Source organism: Homo sapiens, chromosome 11 (assembly GCF_000001405.40).
Source record: "Homo sapiens chromosome 11, GRCh38.p14 Primary Assembly".
NCBI classification, from domain to species: Eukaryota; Metazoa; Chordata; class Mammalia; order Primates; family Hominidae; genus Homo; species Homo sapiens.
Genome location: NC_000011.10, coordinates 45,284,116 through 45,307,230, shown reverse-complemented (window position 1 = coordinate 45,307,230; position 23,115 = coordinate 45,284,116). Strand labels below are relative to the sequence as shown.

Sequence of the window (23,115 nt, the reverse complement as noted above, 5' to 3'; positions counted from 1 at the left end):
TTCTGGGTGGTGGGAGCCCAGATACCCACTGTATTAAATATTATCCTCTCTACTGTTTTTTTGCTATGTCAAAATATTTCATAATTTAAAAAGGAGGAACATAAAATAAAATACAAAGCATGATAGAAAACAAGCAGAGCTACTTGTAAATACCAGAGACTGGGCCCACCAGGAAGGAAATGGAGAGGGTGCTCCTGGATGACTGGCCCCACCTCAAGTAGCATGGGGGCTCCAGGAAGTGGCGTTGAGCTCACACCCTTTATCTGATGTGGGTGTTTGATGGGTGTGACAATGGCTGACCAGAGTCCTGGGGACTGTGGAAAACTTGTCCTACACCATAGTTCAGACACCTGCCAGAGATCATGGAAAGCCTGAAGTCTTCCCTGGACCATCCCAGCTGCAGAGAATCTCCACCAGTCATTTATTCAAGATTATGACAAGTATTTATTGACTACTCACTATGTGCTAAAGAAACTAGAGAAACAATAGTGAATGAAATGGACTTGGTTCCTGCCATCATCGAGATGACAAGCTGGAGGAGGAGATGGGCCTTAATCTCATGATCACAGAGAGAAGTATGTGTCTCCAGGTTGTGACAAGTGCTGTGAAGGAAAACCACAGGGTGCTAAGGGAAGATGCAAGTCACCCAGCTGGAGTTTGGAGTCAGGAAAGTTGGTGGAGGGAGAAGCATTGAAGTTTGTAGGTTGAGAAGGGGGCTACCCAGCAAAGAGCAGAGTCAGAGGGGAGGAGAAACCTCGCACTTTCCCCCAGGATCCTGGGGGTCCTGGGGTTGGGGTGATGGGGCTGGGGCATAGTCACAAAGGGGCATAGCAAGACTGTGCCGGGCCTCCTGGCACACCGAAAGAGCCTCAGCCTGAGAGCAATAAAAAGGCATTGAATCATTCTGACATAAGCAGATTGCATCTTTAGAAGTTCACTCTGTTGACAACACCAAGCACTGACCAGGCTGCAGAGCACCTAGAACACTCCTCCACTGATGGTGGGAATGCAAAACACTACAGCCACTCTGGAAAACAGCTCGACACTTTCTTATAAAGTTAAACATGCATATGACCCAGCAGGAGTGAAAGCTTATGTTCACACAAAATCCTGGACGTTATTGTTTTGTTCATAATCACTAAGCACTGGAAGCAATCCAGATGTCCTTGGATTGGTGAATAGATAAACAATCTGGGTACATACACATAGAGCAAATAAAATACAATAAAAAATCAGTCTCCTGCTATAGACAACAACATGAATATATCTCACACATTTTGCTAGATGAAAGGAATGGGATGCACAGGGCTTCCTTCTGTTTGACTCCATTCATGTGACATTGTGGAAAAGGCAGAAAACAGACCAGTGGTTTCCAGGGGCTGAGGCTGTGGGGAAGAGGTGATTACAAAGGGGCACTGGGGAATATTTTGGAGCTGTTCTCTATCTCGACTGTGGTAGGAGCTACCTGGTAGTATGCATTTATTGAAACTTACAGAACCGCATGCCCCAAAGGGTGAATTTTACTGTTTATGAATCATGCCTCAATTTAAAAAAAGAAATAAATTTAAAAAATCACTTTGGCTGCTCAAGGAGAAGTGATTAGAGACAGCTCTGGTCAATATGGTGGCCTGAATTCCCATTTGGAACTCTGCTCCCACATCAAACACCTAGAGTGCTAGATAAAGACATCCTCTTCCCATCTCTGAGGAATACAGAGCTGAAATTGAGAGCAAGAAAGGAAGAGTCTCAGGTGTCTGAGTTAAAGGTGTTGAAAGTCGGGGAGGTTACCAAGAGCTGACGCTGTGGGTCTCATGGGGATACCTAAAGACATCCCAGCGTTTCTCACTGCTAGTTACCAGACCTGCAGGGGCTGCTGGTTCAATCCTAGCCACTCGAGAGGCAGAGATTTAGGGTCTTCCCAGAACCACCTTGGGACCTATGCTTGGTGAAAGAATGTGTGTGCAAAGAAAGCCTGCCCTGAACAACTTGCTTTCTTGTCGGGAAAAGGCTATCTGGACACCTTGGTGAGATGCCATGAGATACACTCAACATGCATTACTTCCAAGTAGCAGGAATAGTCGCATACCAGTTCACAAGACTCACAAATGCAGCTTGAGAGGCTGGGTGCACGACAAGGATAGGAGAATGTGTCCTGGCATGGCCACCTGCTTGTCTGTAGATGGAAATTACCCATCGAACACATCAGCCTTGTAAAAAAGCCCACCCACTTGCCAGAATGAGGGTCCAAGAAAGAGAATGAAAGAGAATGAGTCCACTGATTTTGCCATTGTTGGCTCTAGAGCATAAGAGAGGCCCCTGGGGCCCCACAGGAGTCACCTTGACTGGCTTTGAGAATGAAACCAAAAGCTGGGGTTCTAGAGAGCAGGGCTGTTGCATGTGGTGGAGGCAGGCTCTGAACTTCAGGCACAGCTCCTTTCATACCCCGTGATGTGGGTGGTACCCTTGGAGCAATGTTGGGGCCCTGCACCTGCGGGTACCTCTGCTTCTGCAGAGCTCCTGGCTCCTCTGGACTGGGCGTACAACTCGTGGCGGGCACACACTGACCTCTGCGGACTTCATGTCTCACTGCTGTGAAGACCCGTAGGGTTTCAGGTGGAACTGCCTCCCCAGTCCCTGAGCTTCCTGCCTCCCCTCTGGCTATGACACAAGCACAGCCATCTGGCCATCCATTTATCCACAAAACCCCGAGGTGCCCTTAGTCCCTGGGGTGACAGGGCAGATGCAGGGCAGTTGTGCCCACACCTGAGTCCCACATGTGAAGTCGGGAGGCCTGACTCTGCAAGCAGTTCTAGACTGCAAGTGATGAAAGGGGGCTTAAGCCTGTCAAGGCCAACCTCTCTCCTGGAAGAAACCCTGGTGCAGCTTCCTCACAGGTGCTTATGGTCGTGTCTGCTGCTCCCGTCTGCTCGCCACTCCTTGTCCCTTCTGACTAGTGAAGGCAAAAAACATGGGTTTGGTTCTGCCACCAGCCCGCGTCTTTCATGAGGAGGCCAACTGCACCTCTGCCTCCCTCAGGCCCCTGTGATCAGTCCAAGGGGCAGATGCACCACCCAAGCTGGGCCAATCGGGCACCCCCCCAGAATTTTATATTTATCAATGTTGGAAAAGAGGAGAACTTTCTCTCTAGTTAAACCATAAGCTTCAGGATAGGCCCCAGGAGCTGCCGGAGGATACTGAAGGAACAAGAGGTCAAGATGAAACATACAGAGACGGAGAGAAAGGAACTTGGCCAAGCTTGAGTCCTGCATCCAGCGGACCTTGGGATCATCTGGCCCTCACCTTTCCTTGGTTTGGGTGGGTGTGCTAACAATTTTTCTGGATTGCTTAAACTAGGTTAAGTTGGGTTTCTGTCCCTTGTCTCGTAAAACAACAGGGAACTCACTGCCCACAGGTAGACAGTGTCCTGTTAGATGGCTGCTCAGATTGTAGGAAATTTCCTCAGGCTGAATGAGGCAGAATCTGCCTCCCTCATCACTTTCTCCCAACCCCTCTGGAGGCGAATGGAGAAAATCTTATCTATCTCTCACCCTCGGGAAAGGCTGACACAGACAGCTGCAGGAGCATCCCAGTGGACACAGGGACCCTGAAAGTCCACGTGGCTCCAACTGTCTGGAGCACTAGGCCCCCAGCTTCCTCTTCTTCCCACTCTGCAAGCCTAATTCTCAATGTTCCTCATGTCCTCTGGCTTCCGCTACCTGCCTTCTCATTACTGTCAGGACACTGGCTGGTGCTATGTGTGCAAAAAGATATTGGTGGCAGGTCTCCGAGGGTCTGCAAGAATTCAAAGATGATTTTGCTCATCCCAGCTGCCCAGGTAGGAGGCTCTATAGGCCTATCACACACCTACTGCCCCATTCCCCTACATTGTCCAGTTACCTCTACCGCTAGTATTACTGGCTACTACTGTTTGAGTGCTAACCACAGGATACGTCATGTGCTAAGAGTTTTTCATATATTTTCTCCTTTGATCCTGACAACAATTTTGTGAAATAGATATTATTCCATTCTATAGATGAGGAAACTGAGGTTCAAAGAAAAGCTTCTTGCTAGGGTCCCATAGCTGGTAAGGGGTGGAGATGGACTTAATCCAGGTCTGCCTGACTCCAAAGCCAAAGTGCTCCAAACTGCTCCATTGGGCTCTGGGCAGTGATGGGATGAGGGCCATCTCCAGGTTCAGAAACCTTTCCAGTTCAGACTCTTCCCTGCTTCTCTTCCTCCTTGTCTTTTGTCCTTTCTCCATCTGTTTCTTCCTCAGAAAGGCACGGAGCCCTTGGTCCAGGCCTGGCCCTGTGTGAGGTACACAGAGATGCAGAGATGAACATGACATGCTCACCGCCTGTAAGGTACCCTCCATCCAGCAGCAGGAGACAGGTAAACCACAGGAACCTAAATCAGGCCTCTGGTGAGGCAGGAATATAGGGTCTGGAGGCAGGGAACCTAAGGCCGATTCACACCTTCCTAGAACTAAATCGAAGGGAAAACCCCAACGTTCCACACCTAAGTAACGAAAGGACTGGAGGCTACTCTCTGTGCAAACCACCCCCTAACCTTTTCTGCGTTGCAGATGGAAAACTGAAAGGACCTCTAATTGGTTGCTTTCCTCAGCCAGTCAGACTGATTGCGGGCCAAGTCTTTCTTTGCATGGAAGTGCAACGTTGTAATTTCACTTTAGCCTCTGATTGGTTGCTTCCCACAACCAGTCAAAGGCTAAATACGCTGGTATAGAGTGTAACCTTTGTAACTTCACTTCAGCCTCTGATTGGTTGCAAGCCAACTAATCGGACTGATTGTGAGCCACTACTTCATTTACATGGGGTGTACACGAAGTGGCCAATGGGAAACCTCTAAAGGGTATTTAAACCCCAGAAAATTTTATAACAGGGCTCTTGAGCCTCTATGTTCAGCCCGAAAGTGGAGCCCCAGCTTCTGAGCCCTTTCACAGCAATGGCAATGGGCCCTCCTAGACTGAGGCCATCAGCTGCACCCTCGGCAAGGCCTAGTCCATTGGGAGGAGGTGTTTACTGGGGTCGGGGCTCCTGCTCTCCCTTTGCCCTGAGATGGGCCCCTTGAGCTTCGTGTGCTCAGGGAGAAGATTGATGCTCCACTTTTAGGGCCAGGCACATCAGGCCTTTGGGACCACTGGCTCCCAGCCCAGACCCTTCGCCTTTCCTGGGGTACAGGGCTGCTGCTGCAGCCATTGCTCAGTGGCAAAGCCAGGCCTTTGGAGGCCCCAGGTGGGGAGCAGGTCAGAGGAACTACTGAGGCAAAAAGGAGGGGAGGAAAGAACTGTCCAGGAGGCCTTGGCTTCATGCTCATTAACCAGCTCCACAGGTGCTGCGAATGGAGCCTGGTGACCAGGGGGTGTTTACGGGCTGCTGCAGATGGTTATTTTATGGCTGGGGGTGCAGGCAGGAAATTGGGGTTTTATGGCTTACTAAACATCAATAACAATTAAGCTCAGTTAGAGACTCCACTGCCCTCCATAGGCCAAAGTACTAAACAAATATTAGGTAAGGAAGTCATCCATTTCACCTGCCTCCCAACGAAGTGTCTCCACCACACACTCTGACCTAAGTCCCTTCCTAATTGCAGGAGTGGCAAGGCCTAAGTTAGGTTCATTTGGTTTTGTTGGTTTTTGCTTTCCAAGGAAGTGAGGATTTAGTGATTCTTTTGCTTAGGAAAAAAAGATGAGGAAAGATATGCCCCACTAAAGGGGTTAAATAAAAGAATGGATTATTACAATATCAATTGTTTAAATTTTATAGGTATATAGGAAGGGATTTATTAGGGGAATTGGCTCATATGATTATGGAGACTGAGAAGACCCACGACAGGCCACTTGCAAGCTGGAGAACCAGGGAAGGCAGCAGGGTGGTTCTGTCCAAGACCAAAGGCCTCAGAACCAGGGAAGCCAATGGATGTGGGGCCAGAGTCAGGGAGTTGCTGGAATTTGCTGATGTGGACCTTCTTCTCAAAATTGCAGAAATGCTGGGACTGGGACATAGCATTTTCCAGGGCAGGGAATGATGACCTTAAAAAAGGAGATGCAAGGGAATTGCATTATTGGCCCTGAAATAAGAACTATTTTGTTGTCAACAGGCCCTCAAAGGATTTACTCTAAGTGCTTTGCAGCCCCCACCAAAATGACTCAAAATTGCTGATGACAAACTATCCTGGCTGAGTCAGGTACAAACAAAGTACCTGACTCCCAGATACCTGTGGTCCGGAGGGCTCCCATGGTCTCTGACTCCAAGAGACATTGAGGGGAGTATCCACTCTTGGCGGCTGCTGGCCGAGTTTTCTGATTGCTTTCCTGGAATGGTATGCCTGGTGTGTACTGCATGATCCTGCAATCCACCATCCAGCCCCCAGAGAGGCCCTGTATCCTGGATCTCACCCAGCCTTGGGACCCTCTCTCCAAGGTTCAGTGATTCTTCAGGGAGGGAAACAGATCCACAGACAAACCCTGTGCTCACCCAGCTCCATGGATGTCTCTACCTTCGAAGAATCTTGATTATCACTCATTCATGTCAATCACTCATTCATTCAGCAAGTATTTCTTGAGGACCAAGCACTCTGCTATGGTCAGGGGATACAGCAGTGAACAGAAGAATAATGGACACTGCTCTCGTGGGGCTTCTTTTCTAACCAGGGTAGACTTTCTTAACCTTGGCACTACTGACATTTGGGGGTGGATGATTCTGTGCTGGTTTGAAGACGCTGTCTTGTGCACTGTAGAATGTTTAGCAGCATCTCTGTCCTTCGCCAACTAGATGCCAGTGATAACTCCCCCTCTCTTAGTTTTGGCAATCAAAATTCTTTCCAGATGTTGTCAAATGTCCCCTGGAGAGCAGCATTATCCCTAGGTGAGAACCTCTGAACCAGGAGACACACGCATGCACGCACACACCCCTTAACATACAGTTAACAGGGAGCTCACTGAAGGGAGTGCCTTGGACAAGCTCTGGGCTCCTGTATTTACCATCAGGACCCCACCTAACTAGGGCCAATATTATTTTGTTGCCAGGCAAGTTAGATGACCTAACTTATTCCTTATAACATAGCTATTCCCTTCTGCCCCCCTCCCATAGTACAGATGAGGAAACTGAGACTTAAAAGAAATCCAGCAAATTGTCATTGCTATTAAGTGGAGTGGCTGGCATTGGAACCCAGGCAGTCGGAAGCCAGACTCAGCCCTATTAGCCAGGATGCACGCTATAACTCTGTAGGTGTGTTTGCCTCACCTGTGCCTCCAGAATGCCAATCAAGAAGATGTAATGAGATGCTTCATTGGGAAGCATGGGGAGCTATCTAGAGAGATATGCAATTTAAAGCTGAGCATCTCAAACAGGGGTGCTGGGCCTGCAACAGGAACCTTAGAAACAAACCTAGGACCAATTTTTGTTTTTCCTCCTTGTGTGACTTAAAACACTTTATTTCAGGGCTGATAAAATCTATGGTGGAAGCCGGGCGCGATGGCTCACGCCTGTAATCCCAGCACTTTGGGAGGCCGAGGCGGGTGGATCACGAAGTCAAGATATCAAGACCATCCTGGCCAACATGGTGAAACCCTGTCTCTATTAAAAATACAAAAATTAGAATTAAAAGGAATATTAAATAATGACAAGTGCTAAGGGTTTGAAAAAGTAAGGCGATGGGGAACAGGGAGTTATGGGGCAATGGGTGGAGAGCTGGTAATTTTACATAAAGGGCAAAGAAGGCCTCATAGGGAGAGGTAAAGGTCTGGGAGTCAGCCAGGCATGGTGGCTCATGCCTGTAATCCCAGCAGTTTGGGAGGCCAAGGTGGGTGGATCACCTGAGGTCAGGAGTTCAAGGTCAACCTGGCCAATATGGTGAAACCCTATCTCTACTATAAAAATACAAAATTAGCTGGGGGTTGTGGCAGGCGCCTGTAATCCCAGCTACTTGGGAGGCTGAGGCAGGAGAATCACTTGAACCGTGGAGGCAGAGGTTGCAGTGAGCCGAGATTGCACCACTGCACTCTAGCCTGGCGACAGAGCGAGAAGCTGTCTCGAAAAAAAATCTATGGTGGAGGAGAATACAAAATCAGACTCATTTTGTTAAAATGGTAAAACTACAGAGACTTGCAAGAAAGTGCATGTTCACCACTATCACTTCATGCCCTCAGGCCCTTACTAGATATGGTGGGAAAGGCGGAAAAACTCTGATTAACAACAACAATAACGAGTATTCATAGGCCCTTTCACATGCAATGGCTGCTGTTCTAAGCACTTTGCCTGTGTTAACTCAATCCTTACAAAAACCCTATGGGGTTAATTAAGGCAACTGGGGCCCCTAGAGGGGAAGTAACTTTGCCGAGGTCCCATGCGAGGCTTGTCTGCAGAGCCAGGGCTGGTTCAGGCTCACCTGCACACCACAGAGCCTCGGAGTTCAGTGGGGGGAGTTTCTGCAGGGCAGGTAGGTGTCGCTAGAAAGTTGGTTCCGGGGAAGCAAAAAAAGAACTCAAGGCCCTGCCCTCCTCTTGAGGCACAGCCAAATTATTGATGCTTCTCAAACTGTGCTCCATGGCCCATCCACACCAGCAGCATGTGGGAAGTTTGTTAAAAAACGTCGATTTCCCATCTTAATTTAAAGACAAAACAAAAAGCAAAAAAACCCCTCCTCATTTATTTATTAAAATAAGAAGTCTAACAGAGCCAAAGGCTTTTCTCCCTGATCATGTATGTGAGAGAGTCCAATAGTCCTGCCCTGATTTGACAGAGCATCTTACTATATATATCTATATCTATATATCTATCTATATATATATAATGAGACGGAGTTTTGCTCTTGTAGTCTGGGCTGGAGTGCAATGGCACGATCTTGGCTCACTGCAACCTCCTGGGTTCAAGTGATTCTCCTGCCTCAGCCTCCTGAGTAGCTGGGAGTAAAGGTGCCTGCCACCATGCCCAACTAATTTTTGTATTTTTAGTAGAGACGGGGTTTCACCACATTGGCCAGACTGGTCTTGAACTCCTGACCTCAGGTGATCTGCCTGCCTCAGCCTCCCAAAGTGTTGGGGTTACAGACGTGAGCCACCACGCCCATCCAATATTTATACTTTTTAAGAATACCAAGATGTCCTTTATAGCATTATTGCTAGGGAAATGGCTGGTCAGAATTGCAGGTTTTTCTTTGAGGGTTATTTTCCCAGGACATAGCAATAATCTCTAAAGTCTTAGGAATTTTATAAGACCCTTTCATTCAGATTATTTTCCTGCAGATAGATTTATATCAACAGAAGACAGAATAAACTAGCAACAGGGACATAAATATTGACACGTTTTGGTAATGGATGTATTGACTGTCTCAAAACTTAGTGGTTTACAACTATAATGTGTAATTACCTCATGATTTTGAGGATTGACTGGGCTCATCTGGGCAGTTTTCATTTGGAGTCTCTCAGACAGTTGTATTCAAATAGTGGCAGGGGTTGGTGTCATCTGAAGGCTAGAGTGGGCTGTATGTACCAGATGGCTCATTCATAAGGCAGTTAGTGGGGGCTGTTGGCTAGAAGTTCAGCTGAGGCTGTCAACTGAAGCTTCTATACAATACCTCACCATGTACTTGGCATTCTGAGAACATAGAAGCTGAGTTCCTGCAATCAACAAAATGAAGACACAACCCACAGAATGGGAGAAGATAGTTGCAAACTACCCATCTGACAAGGGGTTAATAACCAGAATATATAAGGAGCTCAAACAACTCTGTAGGAAAAAAACAAAAAACAAAAAACAAAACAAAACAAAACACCAAAAGCCTAATACTCTGATCAAACAATGGGCAAAAATTTGAATAGACATTTTAGACATTTTTCAAAAGAAGGCATACAAATGGCATTCAGGCATATGAAAAGGCACTCAACATCACTGATCATCAGAGAAATGTAAACCAAAACTACAATGGGATATCATCTCACCCCAGTTACAATGGCTTATATCCAAAAGACAGGCAATAACAAATGCTGGTGAGGATGTGGAGAAAGGGAACCCTTCTACACTGTTGATGGGGATGTAAATTAGTACAACCACTATGGAGAACAGTTTGGAGGTGTCTTAAAAAACTAAAAATTGAGCTATCATATGATCCAGCAATCCCACTGCTGGGTATATATCCAAAAGGAAATGAGTATATGGAAGAGATATCTGCACTCCTATGTTTGTTGCAGCACTGTTCACAGCACTAAGATTTGGAAGCAACCTAAGGATCCATCAACAGATGAATGGATAAAGAAAATGTGGTACATATACACAATGCAGTACTATTCAGCCATAAAAAAGAATGAGATCCTGTCATTTACATGGATGGAACTGGAGATCATTATGGTTAAGTGAAATAAACCAGGCACAGAAAGACAAACATGGCATGTTTTCATTTATTTGTGGTATCCAAAAATCAAAACAATTGAACTCATGGAGATAGAGTAAAAGGATTGTTACCAGAGGCTTGGAAGGGTAGTGGGGGATTAAGGAGGAGATGGGGATGGTTAATGGGTACATAAAAAGTAGAAAGAATGAATAAGACCTACTATCTGATAGCACAACAGGGTGAGTATAGTGAATAATAACTTAATAGCACATTTTAAAATAACTTACGGAACATAATTGGATTGTTTCTAACTGAAAGCATAAATGCTTGATGGGATGAATACCCCATTCTCCATGATGTTCTTATTTCATATTGCATGCTTATATTATATCAAAACATCTTATTTACTCCATAAATATATACACCTAATATTTACCCACAAAAAAATAAAAATAAAAATAAAAATTTTAAAAAAGAAGCTGAACTCTGAGAAAGAACACACAGAGTGAGGGTGCCAGTGGGGTCAGGCAGGCAGAAGTTGAGAGGCTTCCTATGAACTAGTTTAGAAAGTTTCAGAACGTCACTTCTACCACACTCTGTTGGCCAAGCAAATCACCAAGGCCAGTTCGCACCAAAAGTGAGGGAAATTGGGCACTGCCTCTCCATGTAAAGGGAGTGAAGGAATCCACGGCCATCCCTGAAGAGAGTCAGCCACATTCCACATGTCTCTATCTTGCACAGAAACTAAGATGGATGTTCTCACAAATGATCTCAGTTTTACACTGCATCTAATCAGATTGTTTGCAAAAATAAAAAATGAAAAGAACTTACTCTCACTGTAGCTGTCAAAGAGAGGGAATGTTGCCTTTGTTCATTCCTGAGACGTTTATGTTAATTATGAACACTTGAAAGTTTGAGGCCAAGACTTGAAATGTCATTAGTGTTATGAGCAATAAATAAATAACTCAGTTTTTATGACAGAACTGGAGCAAAGGATGAAGGTTCAGATTTTATTAATCTTCAACACTAGACCCATGGGTGATCCCTGAATCAGCCTCTCTTGAGTTGGGGCCTGGAAATCAGCATTTTGCAGACCACTCCAAGTAATGTTTATTCATGGTGTTGAATCTCTTCCTAATTAGAATTAACTTCCAGGCCGGTTGATTAACATAAAGTGTAATGATGATATGGATTACAATAAACATCTTGTCATTTATCTAGCACTTAAGCAATCTTCAAAGTACTTCTCACTGATTATTTGATTCTGTTTTCACAATAATTCCCCAACTGCCTCTGGTATCTGCTCCATGACACCACATTGGCCCTGGCTTTGCCTATAAAGTTCCACAAATTCACCAGTTTGATTTTGGGTCTGAGATTCCTTCTCCAACATGCTATTAAGTCTTTGTCAAAAGTCTCCCAAATTCCTCCTGCTCCATCTGGAAGCCCACCCTGATTTGAGTAAGGTGAAAAGAGCTCACTTTCCCCTTGGGCCCTTCACTAACCAGCTGAGAAATAAACCCATGAATGGCTTGGGAAGTAGCAGAGAGCCTGAAGTGAACCCTAGACAGAGTCAGGAGGCCTGGGAGCCAGCTCAGAAATCTCCTCTCTTGACCTTGGTGTTCTCATCTGTAAAACGAGGCTGTAGATCACCATCGGTGGTCTCACACTGCTTTGGGGGTGGCTCTGACTGTCCCTAGAGGCTGATGGTGTGTACAGTGGGGAGGAGGGCTCGGGGATGCAGTGATCCCAGGGGATTCTTTCCCCCACCTTCTTTCCATCACAGCACCCTGTCTTTTATTCTGAATTCCCACATAAAACTATAGCGGAGTTTTCAAATAACAATGAAAAGTGCCTCTCCTGGACTATAGGACCTTGAGGTTTCCTTTCAGCCCTAACCCTTCAAAATAGTGGTAATAATTTCCAATAGTACAGTGCCAACCACATGCCAGGCATTGTGTGAACCACATCATGCCCATTGTATCACTTCATTCTCTCCATTTAATGGATGGCAAAACTGAGCCCCACCAAGATAAAGTGCATTGTCAGAGGCCACCCAGCTGGTTCCTTTGTGGAACTCGAATTCACTGGAGGGTAGACTGATCTGGCTTAACCACGACACAGTGAGAGTTTCCAGCTTGCCTGCCACTAGCGCAGGCTATGACACAGGATAGAGTGGCCAGGGGCTCTGGCCACGGCTCCTCCCATTTCAGCCCTGGAGCAGTTTACACAGTGCCAGGGGTTTCTGGACTCTCCCTTTGCCCCCCCACCCCACCACCACAAGGTATGGGGAGAAGGGGAGCAGTGGTGTGAGCTTGCAAAGGGGCTGTGTGTGAAGGTGCAGTGAAGCCTCAGGGTTTGGGTTAGGGCCCACAGGGCAGGGCTGTGGGTCAGGGACAGGGCTCCTGTCTGTCCACTTGACATATGTATTGAAGTGCTGTGATGTGCCAGGCACTGCTCTAGGGCTGGAGATACACTGCTAGACAACTCAGGCCCTACGCCTGCCTTCCTAGGGCCTCTATTCCAGAAGAGGAACTCAGATCATCAGCAAGATAAATTAGACAGGTAAGGAGAATTAGAAGGAATATTAAATAATGACACGTGCTAAGGGTTTGAAAAAGTAAGGCGATGGGGAACAGGGAGCGATGGGACAATGGGTGGAGAGCTGGTAATTTTACATAAAGGGCAAAGAAGGCCTCATAGGGAGAGGTAAAGGTCTGGGAGTCATCCGGGCATGGTGGCTCACGCCTATAATCCCAGCAGTTTGGGAGGCCAAGGTGGGTGGATCACCTGAGGTCAGGAGTTCAAGGTCAACCTGGCCAATATGGTGAAACCCTGTCTCTACTGAAAATACAAAATTAGCTGGGGGTGGTGGCAGGCGCCTGTAATCCCAGTTACTTGGGAGGCTAAGGCGGGAGGTTTGCTTGAACCCAGGAGGTGGAGGTTGCAGTGAGCCAAGATCGTGCCACTGCACTCACTCCAGCCTGGGCAATAAAGCCAGACTCCGTCTCAAAAGGAAAAAAAAAAAAAAAAAAAAAAAAAAAGGACTGGGAGTCAAGACCTAGGGGAGGATTCATTTCCCTCCACATCCTCCGGGTGGCAGCATCTTCCAATTCGTGGGGCAGTGCTGGTGGTTCCTCCTCCCCGCCATAGAGTATTCTTGCTCAGTCTATCTAAAAATGCCGTTTAAAATGGGGGAATCCTAGAAACAAAACATGAAGAATTTGGGGGATGTGACTATTATTATATTTTTTGATCTAGGCGCTGGGTAAACAGATGAGTTCACATTTTGAAAATCCACCATGCTATGCTTATGACCTATGCACTTTTCATCTGTAGGTTATACTTCTGTAAGTTCAAAATGACACACACTTTAAACATTGTATTTTAATCTAAATCATAGTTTGCATTAGTTTCCCCAAATTTTGATGATTAGACTCTGTGTCAAAACGTTTTAAATTTCTAAATACATTAGTACAGACAAAATGCTCAGAGCCAAGCCTGATGTGTAGGAAGCACTTAATAAACGTTAGCACTGTTACCTTGTGTGCATATCCATGATGCCTCATTTATGATTTCCAGTCCTGCATTCTCTGCAGTAGAGGAAGAACTTGGAGACACTTTCCTGGCAATCTGATGGCAGCGTCCTTCTAGAATTTTGTGAGTTGTCCCAACCTTTTACAGATAACTTGCTCATATCTATTTTAACAGCAGTTCTAAAAGCAACTTACCCTAATGGGTCTTTGCAAAGCACTCACCTTAGTTCTCACAGAACTAACTTTCCTTTATACTTCTATGTCATTAGTTTACATATCAGTTAATTAAAGTCTATAAATCAATAATGAGATCAACTGGCATAAAAAGATACTGAGACAGACACAACTAACTCTTTGAGTGAGTAGACGACTCCATTGGAGGGGGAAAAAGAGCAATGAGAGAAGAGGCTGAGGGCATCAGGCAGCAAGTTCTCCAGAAGGAGTGGATAGCTTGGGCCAATCTGGAAAGTTGGTTGAGTGGAGGTTGGTTCAGAGAACTAATTTTGTACCCTTCTCAAGTGTTGGAGTCTGTAAGATTGATTCTTGTACAATTGTTAATGAGCTGGTGTATCTATTAGGCATTGCTGGAAGTACTGGTAACACTGCCTTTGGGAACCAGGAATGATAATCCAAGCCATTTGTTGTGCAGCTTCCATGTGCCAGGCCCTACGCTTACAGAAATTAGCGCTACGTATTTTCACAGCAATCCTGTCAAGGAGACTATCATCTCCCCATTTGTATCAGCCCTTGACACATAGCACTCTAAAATTTAGTGGCTTAAAATGACTTATAATTTTAATTTAGCTCATTTTTCTGTGGGTTGGCTCTTTGGCTGGGCTCAGCGGGGTGGGTTTTCTAGTTTTATCCGGATTCAGTCATGAGCTCTGATTCCGGGAACTGGCTTGCGTTGGGGTCATGGGAATAACAAGCTCACTTAATCTCTCATCCTCCTACAAGATAGTTTGGGCTTCTTTACATGGTGGCTGGGCAGGATTCTATGATGGAGAATGGAATCTTCCAGGATCTCTCAAGACCTAGGCTTAGAATTTGGCACGATGTGACTTCCACCACAGTCAATTAGCCAAAACAAATCACAAGGCCAGCCCAGATTAAGAAGTGGATCAATAGACTCAACCTCTTTGCAAAGTCACATTGCAAAAGGGTGTGGACACAGGAAAGGGAATAATTGCAACCACATTTCCAAATCATTTATCACCCACTTTCTGCAAATAAATGAAAGTTTAATCAGTTTAAGCTAATTCGTCCATCCAGAGACTCCCAGCTAATAAGCAATAGAGCTAGAATAACACATACCTGTGGGACTTCAATACCCACTATTTTCACTAAGCCAAGATGCTTTATTAAGAAATTAGAGGGTCAGGAACAAATGAGATCATTTGAATTTTAAAATTAACATTAATTGAGAATCCTGTTATTTGTACAGCACTACGCTTTAGGCCATCCTCACAACATCCCTATAAAGTAGAGATGACTGCCCCTATTTTACCAATAAGAAAAGTAAGGCTCCAAAATATCAAGGTTACTTTGCCAATGAATCACACTGCTTAGTACACACAAAGACAAAGGATTTGAACCCATTTCTTCTTATTTCAAGTCCACTCTTCTTTCAACCACTCTAGAAACTTCTAATCTGCGGTTCAAGGCATCATATGATCCTTGAACAATTTAGAGTTACATACGAAATTATATATATATAACATTCAGACATTCTTCTGGAAAAGAGAATTGCTTTTATTATATTCACATGAGCCCCACCAGGTTAAGCACCTCATTTCTGAAAAAAAAAAAAAAAAAAAATGCTAACCTTCCTTCTCATATGGCAGGCAAAATCCTTCAGACGATGTCTTGTAATTGTTGTACACTCCAGAAGCCTATAACCAACTGGAGCCTTTAGATTAGCTTCAGAATAAATGGAAGGGAATCAAGGAGCCATGCCCATGAGCACTAGAAAGTGTGGCTTTATCTTGTGCTGAGATGGAATTAGGATTTGAAAGAATCCTGCATTGTTGAAAAGTCCATTCCAGGGCAGCTGATTACCTAGTGGTTAATACAGTAACACTTTAATTTGCTGCAACACCAGAAGAGTTTCCTGCTATTCAAAGACTTGGATTTCTGGATCAGGCCTCCCCAGTCTCTTTTTCCCCTTTCTCCTTTGTGCCTTAAGATACAGCCCAGAATTGCTCAGAATCAGCAACGGGAGTTCTGGGAGCGGACCTCACACCTGGGTCTGGACTGAGCTGCGCTACTTACTCTCCTCACTGTCAGTATCTCTTTTCTCCTGGGCTCTGCAAGACCTGCTGTGGGGCTCAGAATTTCCACCCCTTATCCCAGGCAACTTCCTCCTGCACATCTCACCTTTGGCAAGGGACTTGGGCTTGGGGAACACCCAGTCAGTCATGGTCCAGCTTGGAGAACCTGCAAAGTCATCAAATGAGAGAGCTAGCAGCACAGAGATGAAAACTGGGGGCCAGAGAGGAAAAGTAACTTGCCCACACTGTACCTGCCCTCTCCTTCTGCTGTCAACAATTTCAGCCTGCCATGAACTCCTCATTCCTGAAGGGAAGCATGGCCTCTCTCCCTGGGTGCCCGCTATGCCTTCCTCTTTAGTCCACCAGCACCCACTTTGTCACTTTGTTCCTCCCCAATCCTTCCAACACTTTAGCCAGAGGAATCTTTTTTTTTTTTTTAGAGACAGGGTTTCCCCATGTTACCCAGGGTGATACTGAACTCCTGGACTCAAGCAATCTGCCCACCTCAGCCTCCCAAAGTGCTGGGATTATAGACATGAGCCACTGCACCTGGCCAGGAATCTTTTAAAAACACAATTCTGATTATATCACACTCCTTTGCCTAAAAACATGCAATGGCTTTCCACTATGGCCTCTGAGCCCTGTTGTCTGGCCCCTGTTTCTTCCTTCAGGCTCAGTCACACTCTCCTAGTTGTGTGCTGAAACTGGCTCCTCCAAGCTCACAAGAGCCAATGGGAAATATTCAGGAATTTGTTGGTAGCTGGAAATCGACCATGGTGGGGTTACTTTATACCAGAAAAATCAACAAATGCTAAAAATCCTATTTTTTTTTTCTGGAGAGCTGATTGGTCAGTCCACCGCTGCTCCATCCCCACTGTGCTGTTCCATCACAGGACCGCTGAACATGCTGTTGTTCTGCCTGGCACGCTCTCCCCTCTTTCTTTGCTGAGTTAACTCTATTCTTCAACACCTCAGCTCAATTCTTACTTCTTCCAGGAAGCCTTCTGTGATATTTCTGAACAAGTCAAGTCTCTAACATTCACCTTTTCTTCTTAGCCTGTATCACATTTGTAATTTGACACGTGTGATGAATGATGAGCACCCGTCTTCCCCATGGGAATATAAACTTTCCATGGCAAGAGAGACCATGCCTGGTTTTACTCACTCTCTTTGCTGTATCACCTGGCACAGTACCTGGTCATAGAAACTCACATCTGCTGAATGAGTGAATAAATTAGAGAAATATACACTAGACAAGGCTCTGGCTTCTGTGGCAGGAGTACTTTTGCTCACACATCTCCACATTCTCCTCTGCATTTCCCAGCCTCTCTTGCTGTTACATTTGTCCTGTTACCAAATTCTGGCCAGTGGAATGGGGTGCTCTGTGTCCTCCATTTCCAGCCATGTCCTCTAGAATGCCACAAGTAGTCCTCAAGTCTCTTTCTCTTCCCTGCATGGCTGGAAGTGAAGGAATCACAAGACAGAAGCAGCCCAGATTCCTGAGTCACCAACTGGAGAAGAGCTGACCAAATGAGTCATCTGACCCTCCTTCAATTGAGAAAGGAGGGAGATGTACGCTTTTATTGAGTTCATCTCTGACATTTTGAGTTATTTGTTACTGCAGCAGAATCCAGTTTACCCTGACCTAAAACACCATCCCAGTTGTCATTAACTCCTACTCTTTGGGCAAGCCATGATGTCTCTGAATCTCCGTTTCCTTATTGGTAAAATAAAAGGATTCCACAGGTGATATCTGAAATCGTTGCAATGTTAAAATTCAGTTATTCCGCTGGTATATTTTCCTCCCTCCTGCATAGCACCATATGTAGACACCACAAATGTTTGCTAAATAAGAGAACCTCCTATATTTGAAATCCTTTTCTCCAGATAAAAGCATTTTAGTACCTTAGAAGTTCAGAGTGATTATTCAGAATATTTAAACATCTAACATGTACAATATTGATCAAAATAACAATGGGAACATTTCATCAAGAGGCTGGGGAACCTTCAAAGATCCATCCCTCAGCCTCGTAGATGCCTCCTAAGCATCTTGCTCTGTCTGCTCTTAGAAATGTGGCCTCAGCACTTCCAATTATTTGTGGGTCCCAGCCTCAGACTGTCTTAACTGATCCACTCAGCTGACTCAGTTAACTGCCTTTCCCAATAGGCATACTCTCATTTTTCAAAGGAACCTAGTGATGCCTTTTTTCTGTGGGTTGTCATTAAAGGCCACTGTCTGCATATCAGTAGCCAAGAAGCAAACATCGTATCTTTGATGAGATATATGAGGGTGACTGGTTGGGTAGCAAAGGTAGCCCAGAGTCCTGATCACTCAACTGGGCTTTGGATCCCCTGGGGTCTATTCCTAGCTCTGCCATAGGTTCACTGTGTGTGAAAGAGGCACAAGGCAAGCTCTTCTTCTTGGGCTGGGGTCCCTCTTCCTGTTATAAATGAAGGCCACTGCAGCTGCTGTCATCCCAGTAACCATAGTAACAATGGATCATGTGACAGGTGTCTGATTCCCCATCAGACATTTTCTGATATTAAGTGTTCTTCATCCTTCCCCTTTAACCCCACCCCAGATCCTGTTATGAGTAGTGGCATTGATGGTCTCCCAGGGCAGCCGTTTGAGCATGGGAGACCTGGAGCTGACAGCATTAATTAAACCTCTATTTCCACAAAACATTTTGCATTGCCAGGCCCGGAGCCAAGAAAACCTCCCAGGGCAGCTCTTATGTGAGAGATTGCTAAGGCTGTCACCAGGGACTGCAGTGCTTCAGCTCTACAGTTTGCAGCAAATGGGGATCAGTAGGAAAATGTGCCTGGCATACAGCAGGCACACAATAAATACTTGTGGAAAAGTCAGTTTACTAAAATGGAGCTCATATCACAAATGGGATTCCTTCAAAACACTGGAAATTCTGCATAAGATGATCATATGAATTATTCCACGGTTACTGAGTGCCTGCTATATGCACCCATGGGTGATAACATGGAGACTCTAAAGATGTTAGCTTGTTGAAGGAATCCCAAGTCCATGGGGTGGCTGAGGCTCAGGGGCACATTGGGAAGTGTGTAGAGAGGAGTCTGGAAGGCTTAGCAGGGACCACATCACAAAGGGATTTGGATAAAGGTTGAGTCTCTTGGGTTTATTCTTGGAGAACCTTTGAGAGCTGTGAGTGACATGATCAGCTTTGTATTTTGGACACCTCCTTTTGATGTCACTGAAGGAAAGAACTAGAGGGAGACTATTGTTTTGATCAAATAGTGTTCTAGAATTTCTGAACCCAGGCCTTAAGACAACTGGCAGCTTCTGCTTCATTCCTCTTAGAATCCAGCCAGCATGCTGTGAGCAGCTCCAGCACCATGGAGAGGTGACATAGAGGACAACCAAAATGCACCAGCTGACAGCCCCATTGTGATCCCAGTGGCAGCCAGCACCTACTGCTCACCACGTGAGTTCACCATTGCACCATCTGCAATGGTGTCTGGAGAGCTGATGTCCCAGTCCAGCTGAACCCCTAGATGACTGCAGTCCCAGAAGACAACATGTTGAGCAGGAAAACCACCCAACTGAGCCCAGCCAACCCATGAAATCATGACAAGTAACACAATAACTGGTCTAAGCCAGTAAGTCATCGGTGGGTTTTTATGCAAGTGTAGATAGCTGAAAAACTGGAGGACGGGTGGGTTCCCAGGTGGTGGTCACAGCTACAGCTCAGAGGAAAAGGTCTGGCTGGAGAGGCTATAGATTTAGGAGACATTGGCTCATAGAAATGTGAAAGCTCTGTTGTGGATGAAATCACCTACATCCCTTTTCACACATGCCCAGCACACCTAGAGCACAGCCAACCCACAGCAAATATCTGCTGAATTAAATTCAACACTCCATATAATGAAGAACACTAAAAAGCCACTGTTTTCTTGAGCTAAGACAGTCCTCATGCCCGGAATTCTAATTTCCCCTTGTTCTAAGCATAGTTTTATGCTCACCCTCTCTGAATCAAGTGTGTACTCCTAGCTGCTGCATTTTATCTTCTTTATCCTCCTAAGACAAGTCCGTTTGAGTGTGGACTTGGAATCTGCAAACATAAGCTTGGGTTCAGGGTGATGATTTTTCTACCTGTGCACCTCTCTTCTGAGCCTCGGCTTCCTCAACTATATATAAAGGTGCGAATACCTGCTGATTAGGTAATAAAGGTGAACTCTTGGGCAACCCTTAAGGGGATGCAGCTGTATTGTCCATCTTCAGCAGGACACAGGTACAGCCTCAACCCAAACATCCCATCTGTTCCCTCTACCTGTGGCCTGTTCCTCTTCCCTGTAAGAACCATCTCCCAGGTTGGGGAGCTGGGAAATCTCCAGCTTTGTGTTTGAAAAAGCTCCCGGAAGACCCAATTTTACAGCCAGCTTGGCCAGCTGCTGGGGTAGAAGGGTGAGCAAGGAGCTAGTAGTCTGGGAAAGTGACTCCTAGAGTCGCAGATCTGGTTGGAGCCCAGGTTTGTCCTCTAACACAGTGTGACCTCCGCAAGCTCCAGCACTTCTTGGGCCCAGTTGTCCCCTGTTGTACACAAAGCATTAAGAATGGCCTGAAACAACCCCAAGGCTCCTTCCACCTGGAAGGCTCCGGCTCCTGTTGGGGTGGGGGTCCGGTCACGTGTTGGCGGGGAGGGGGTTGCCGGTTGACGTGGCTGCGGGTCCAGCCTCCTCTGACGTCCTCGCAGCCGTCCTCCCTCCCTCCGTCCCCGCCCCTCTGGCGGCGGGAGAGCTGCTGGCTCGCCCGGATCCCGGGAGCTGCCTGGAGGCGGGCCCGGCCCGGGGAAGGTGAGCGGCTGCGGGACCCAGCCCCTCGCCGGGAGCGGGCACCATGGTGCTGTCGGTGCCTGTGATCGCGCTGGGCGCCACGCTGGGCACAGCCACCAGCATCCTCGCGTTGTGCGGGGTCACCTGCCTGTGTCGGCACATGCACCCCAAGAAGGGGCTGCTGCCGCGGGACCAGGACCCCGACCTGGAGAAGGCGAAGCCCAGCTTGCTCGGGTCTGCACAACAGGTGAGCGGGGGCGGCGCGCAGGCCCTTCCCGGGCAAGGCGGGGTTGCCGGGCAGCTGCAGAGGGGGAACTGGGGTGGGAGGCGGTCGTGGATCTTTGCGCGACAAAGCTTGGCGGGGAGGGGACAGCAGACGCGTTGGAGGACAGGTCAAGGAGTCAAAAAGGTAGGGGGATGGGGGAGGCTAGGGGATGGGGGAGACGAGACCTGAAGGAGAATTAGGGAGCGGCGAGCTTGTGGGGACTGAGAGAAGAATGGGGGCCAGCAGCGAGACCTAAAGGGAGGGGACAGGAAAGGGGACCTGGATAAGAATTAGGGCTGGGAAGGGTAAGAGGAGAGGGAGGCTGGGAGGGGAATCGCCAGGGTTAGGGAAGACCCTGAGAGGTACCAGAGAATGAGGAGTTTGCAGAATTGGGAAGAAGACTGGGGTCTGTGAGAGGGAGATGGGTGGTGGTTGTGGAGCCAGGGTAGGGCAAGTCCTGCCAGAGCTGAGAAGAGGTAATGCCTGCAAAGCCAGAGGGGAGGTGGCCGCGGTCCCGCAGGAGCTGGGAAGCTAGCTAGCGGGGTCTAGAGAGCTGAATCCGGGAGGAACCTGAAGGACTCTTCCCCACCCCCTAGCAGCTCTGAGCTCCAGCCAGTCAGAGGGGGTTGGTATGGCCTCCCCCAAGATGTCTCTGCAGACGTCCCTGGAGACAGGAGGGCTTTTATCCCATGCATTTGCTCATGGCCAGAGCCCCTTCGTGCAGGAAATAGCCCGTGCTCCCATTGTAAAGAGCAGCAGAAGGGGTCTGGGGAAGCAGTTTGGAAGGATTTCCCTGCATAGGCTGTGACCTCCAGGATGCATTTCCAAAGTACAGAATGCAGAATGTTCTCTGGAGAACCAGGAGGCAAAGAGTCCTGCTAGAGTGATTTGAGGAAGGATGGCCCTGGGGCAGGGGCATGACTTAAAGGACCTCCTAAAGGCCCTCTAGATCCCTTATAGACTGTATGGTTCCAGGAGTGGCACTAAAATGCTGTGACTCCATCTTCCTTTTTCCAATCAATAATTCAAAAGCTCAGAGGACCCAGTTGTGTGGGGCCTGTGTCAGTCACTGTACAGTGAGAGTGGAAAGGAAATGGCTGCTGTCCTTGAGGCACTTATAATCCAAGAACAGTGACATTGACAGTGGCTAAATAGGAGCCGGCTGCACAGCAGAATGTGGGACTTGGGACGATCTGGAAAAGGGGAATAGTGGGCTTTCCACTGGCCAGGTGTTGGGAGTCCTTCTCCACAAGTCGTGGTCGGCCGCCTCTCAACCTTCTTTCCTGCCCAACACACTTGAGGAACAGCCACTCTTCTGCCTTTCAGTGATGTCTCTCCAGGCACCGCCCCCTCCCCTTCCTAGAGAGAACCACTGGGAAACTAGTTGGTGTAAATGACCTCTAGGGTCTCTTCCAACTCTTTGTCTTATTGATGACCAGTAGCCCACAGAACGGCTGATCATCTGTTAAAGAAAAACCAGGTTGTGTCTCTCCCCTGCTTCAAATCCTCCACAACTTCTCACTGAGCTTGGAAGAGGTCATAGCAAACCATGACATAGCATACACTGTGTGCCAGGCGCACTGTTCAGAGTACACTAATTAATGTGTTTCTTGACCCAGTGAGGGAGCCATAGAATGATCCTAACTTAAAGATGAGGAAACTGAGGCTTAGAGAAGGTAACTGACTTGCCTAGAGCTGCACAGCTAGAGAAGTTTTAGAGCCAGACTCTAGCTGAGCTTGTCTGATTCTGGTGGCCACACTATTAGCCACTCCTCTCCACCCACTCACCTGCTTTAACATGGAAGGTGCCTGCCTCTCCAGCCAAGCTCATGCCAGTTTCTTTCTTCATCAGCAGTCTTGGCTTCCCTGGATTTACGATCATTCTTTTAAA

At 46.9% G+C, this 23,115-nt stretch overlaps 1 protein-coding gene across 2 annotated transcripts in view, besides 2 other annotated features; it reads left to right on the top strand.

The window, feature by feature from the left end:
• Positions 7,996-8,540: an enhancer, noted in NCBI's record as "OCT4-NANOG hESC enhancer chr11:45320242-45320786 (GRCh37/hg19 assembly coordinates)". NCBI's record gives its function as "activates a minimal SCP1, AML or CMV promoter by ChIP-STARR-seq in primed H9 embryonic stem cells {active_cell/tissue: H9 hESC(primed)}" and the evidence as "EXISTENCE:reporter gene assay evidence [ECO:0000049][PMID:30033119]".
• Positions 20,709-21,495: an enhancer, noted in NCBI's record as "H3K4me1 hESC enhancer chr11:45307287-45308073 (GRCh37/hg19 assembly coordinates)". NCBI's record gives its function as "activates a minimal SCP1, AML or CMV promoter by ChIP-STARR-seq in naive H9 embryonic stem cells {active_cell/tissue: H9 hESC(naive)}" and the evidence as "EXISTENCE:reporter gene assay evidence [ECO:0000049][PMID:30033119]".
• SYT13 (synaptotagmin 13) overlaps positions 20,890-23,115 on the top strand; it is a 46,040-nt gene continuing 43,814 nt past the window's right edge. For both annotated transcript variants that reach the window (NM_020826.3, NM_001247987.2), the window contains exon 1: positions 20,890-21,206. In NM_020826.3, the coding sequence (NP_065877.1) occupies positions 21,024-21,206 (183 nt within the window). In that variant the 5' untranslated portion in view covers positions 20,890-21,023. The remainder of the gene's footprint in view (positions 21,207-23,115) is intronic.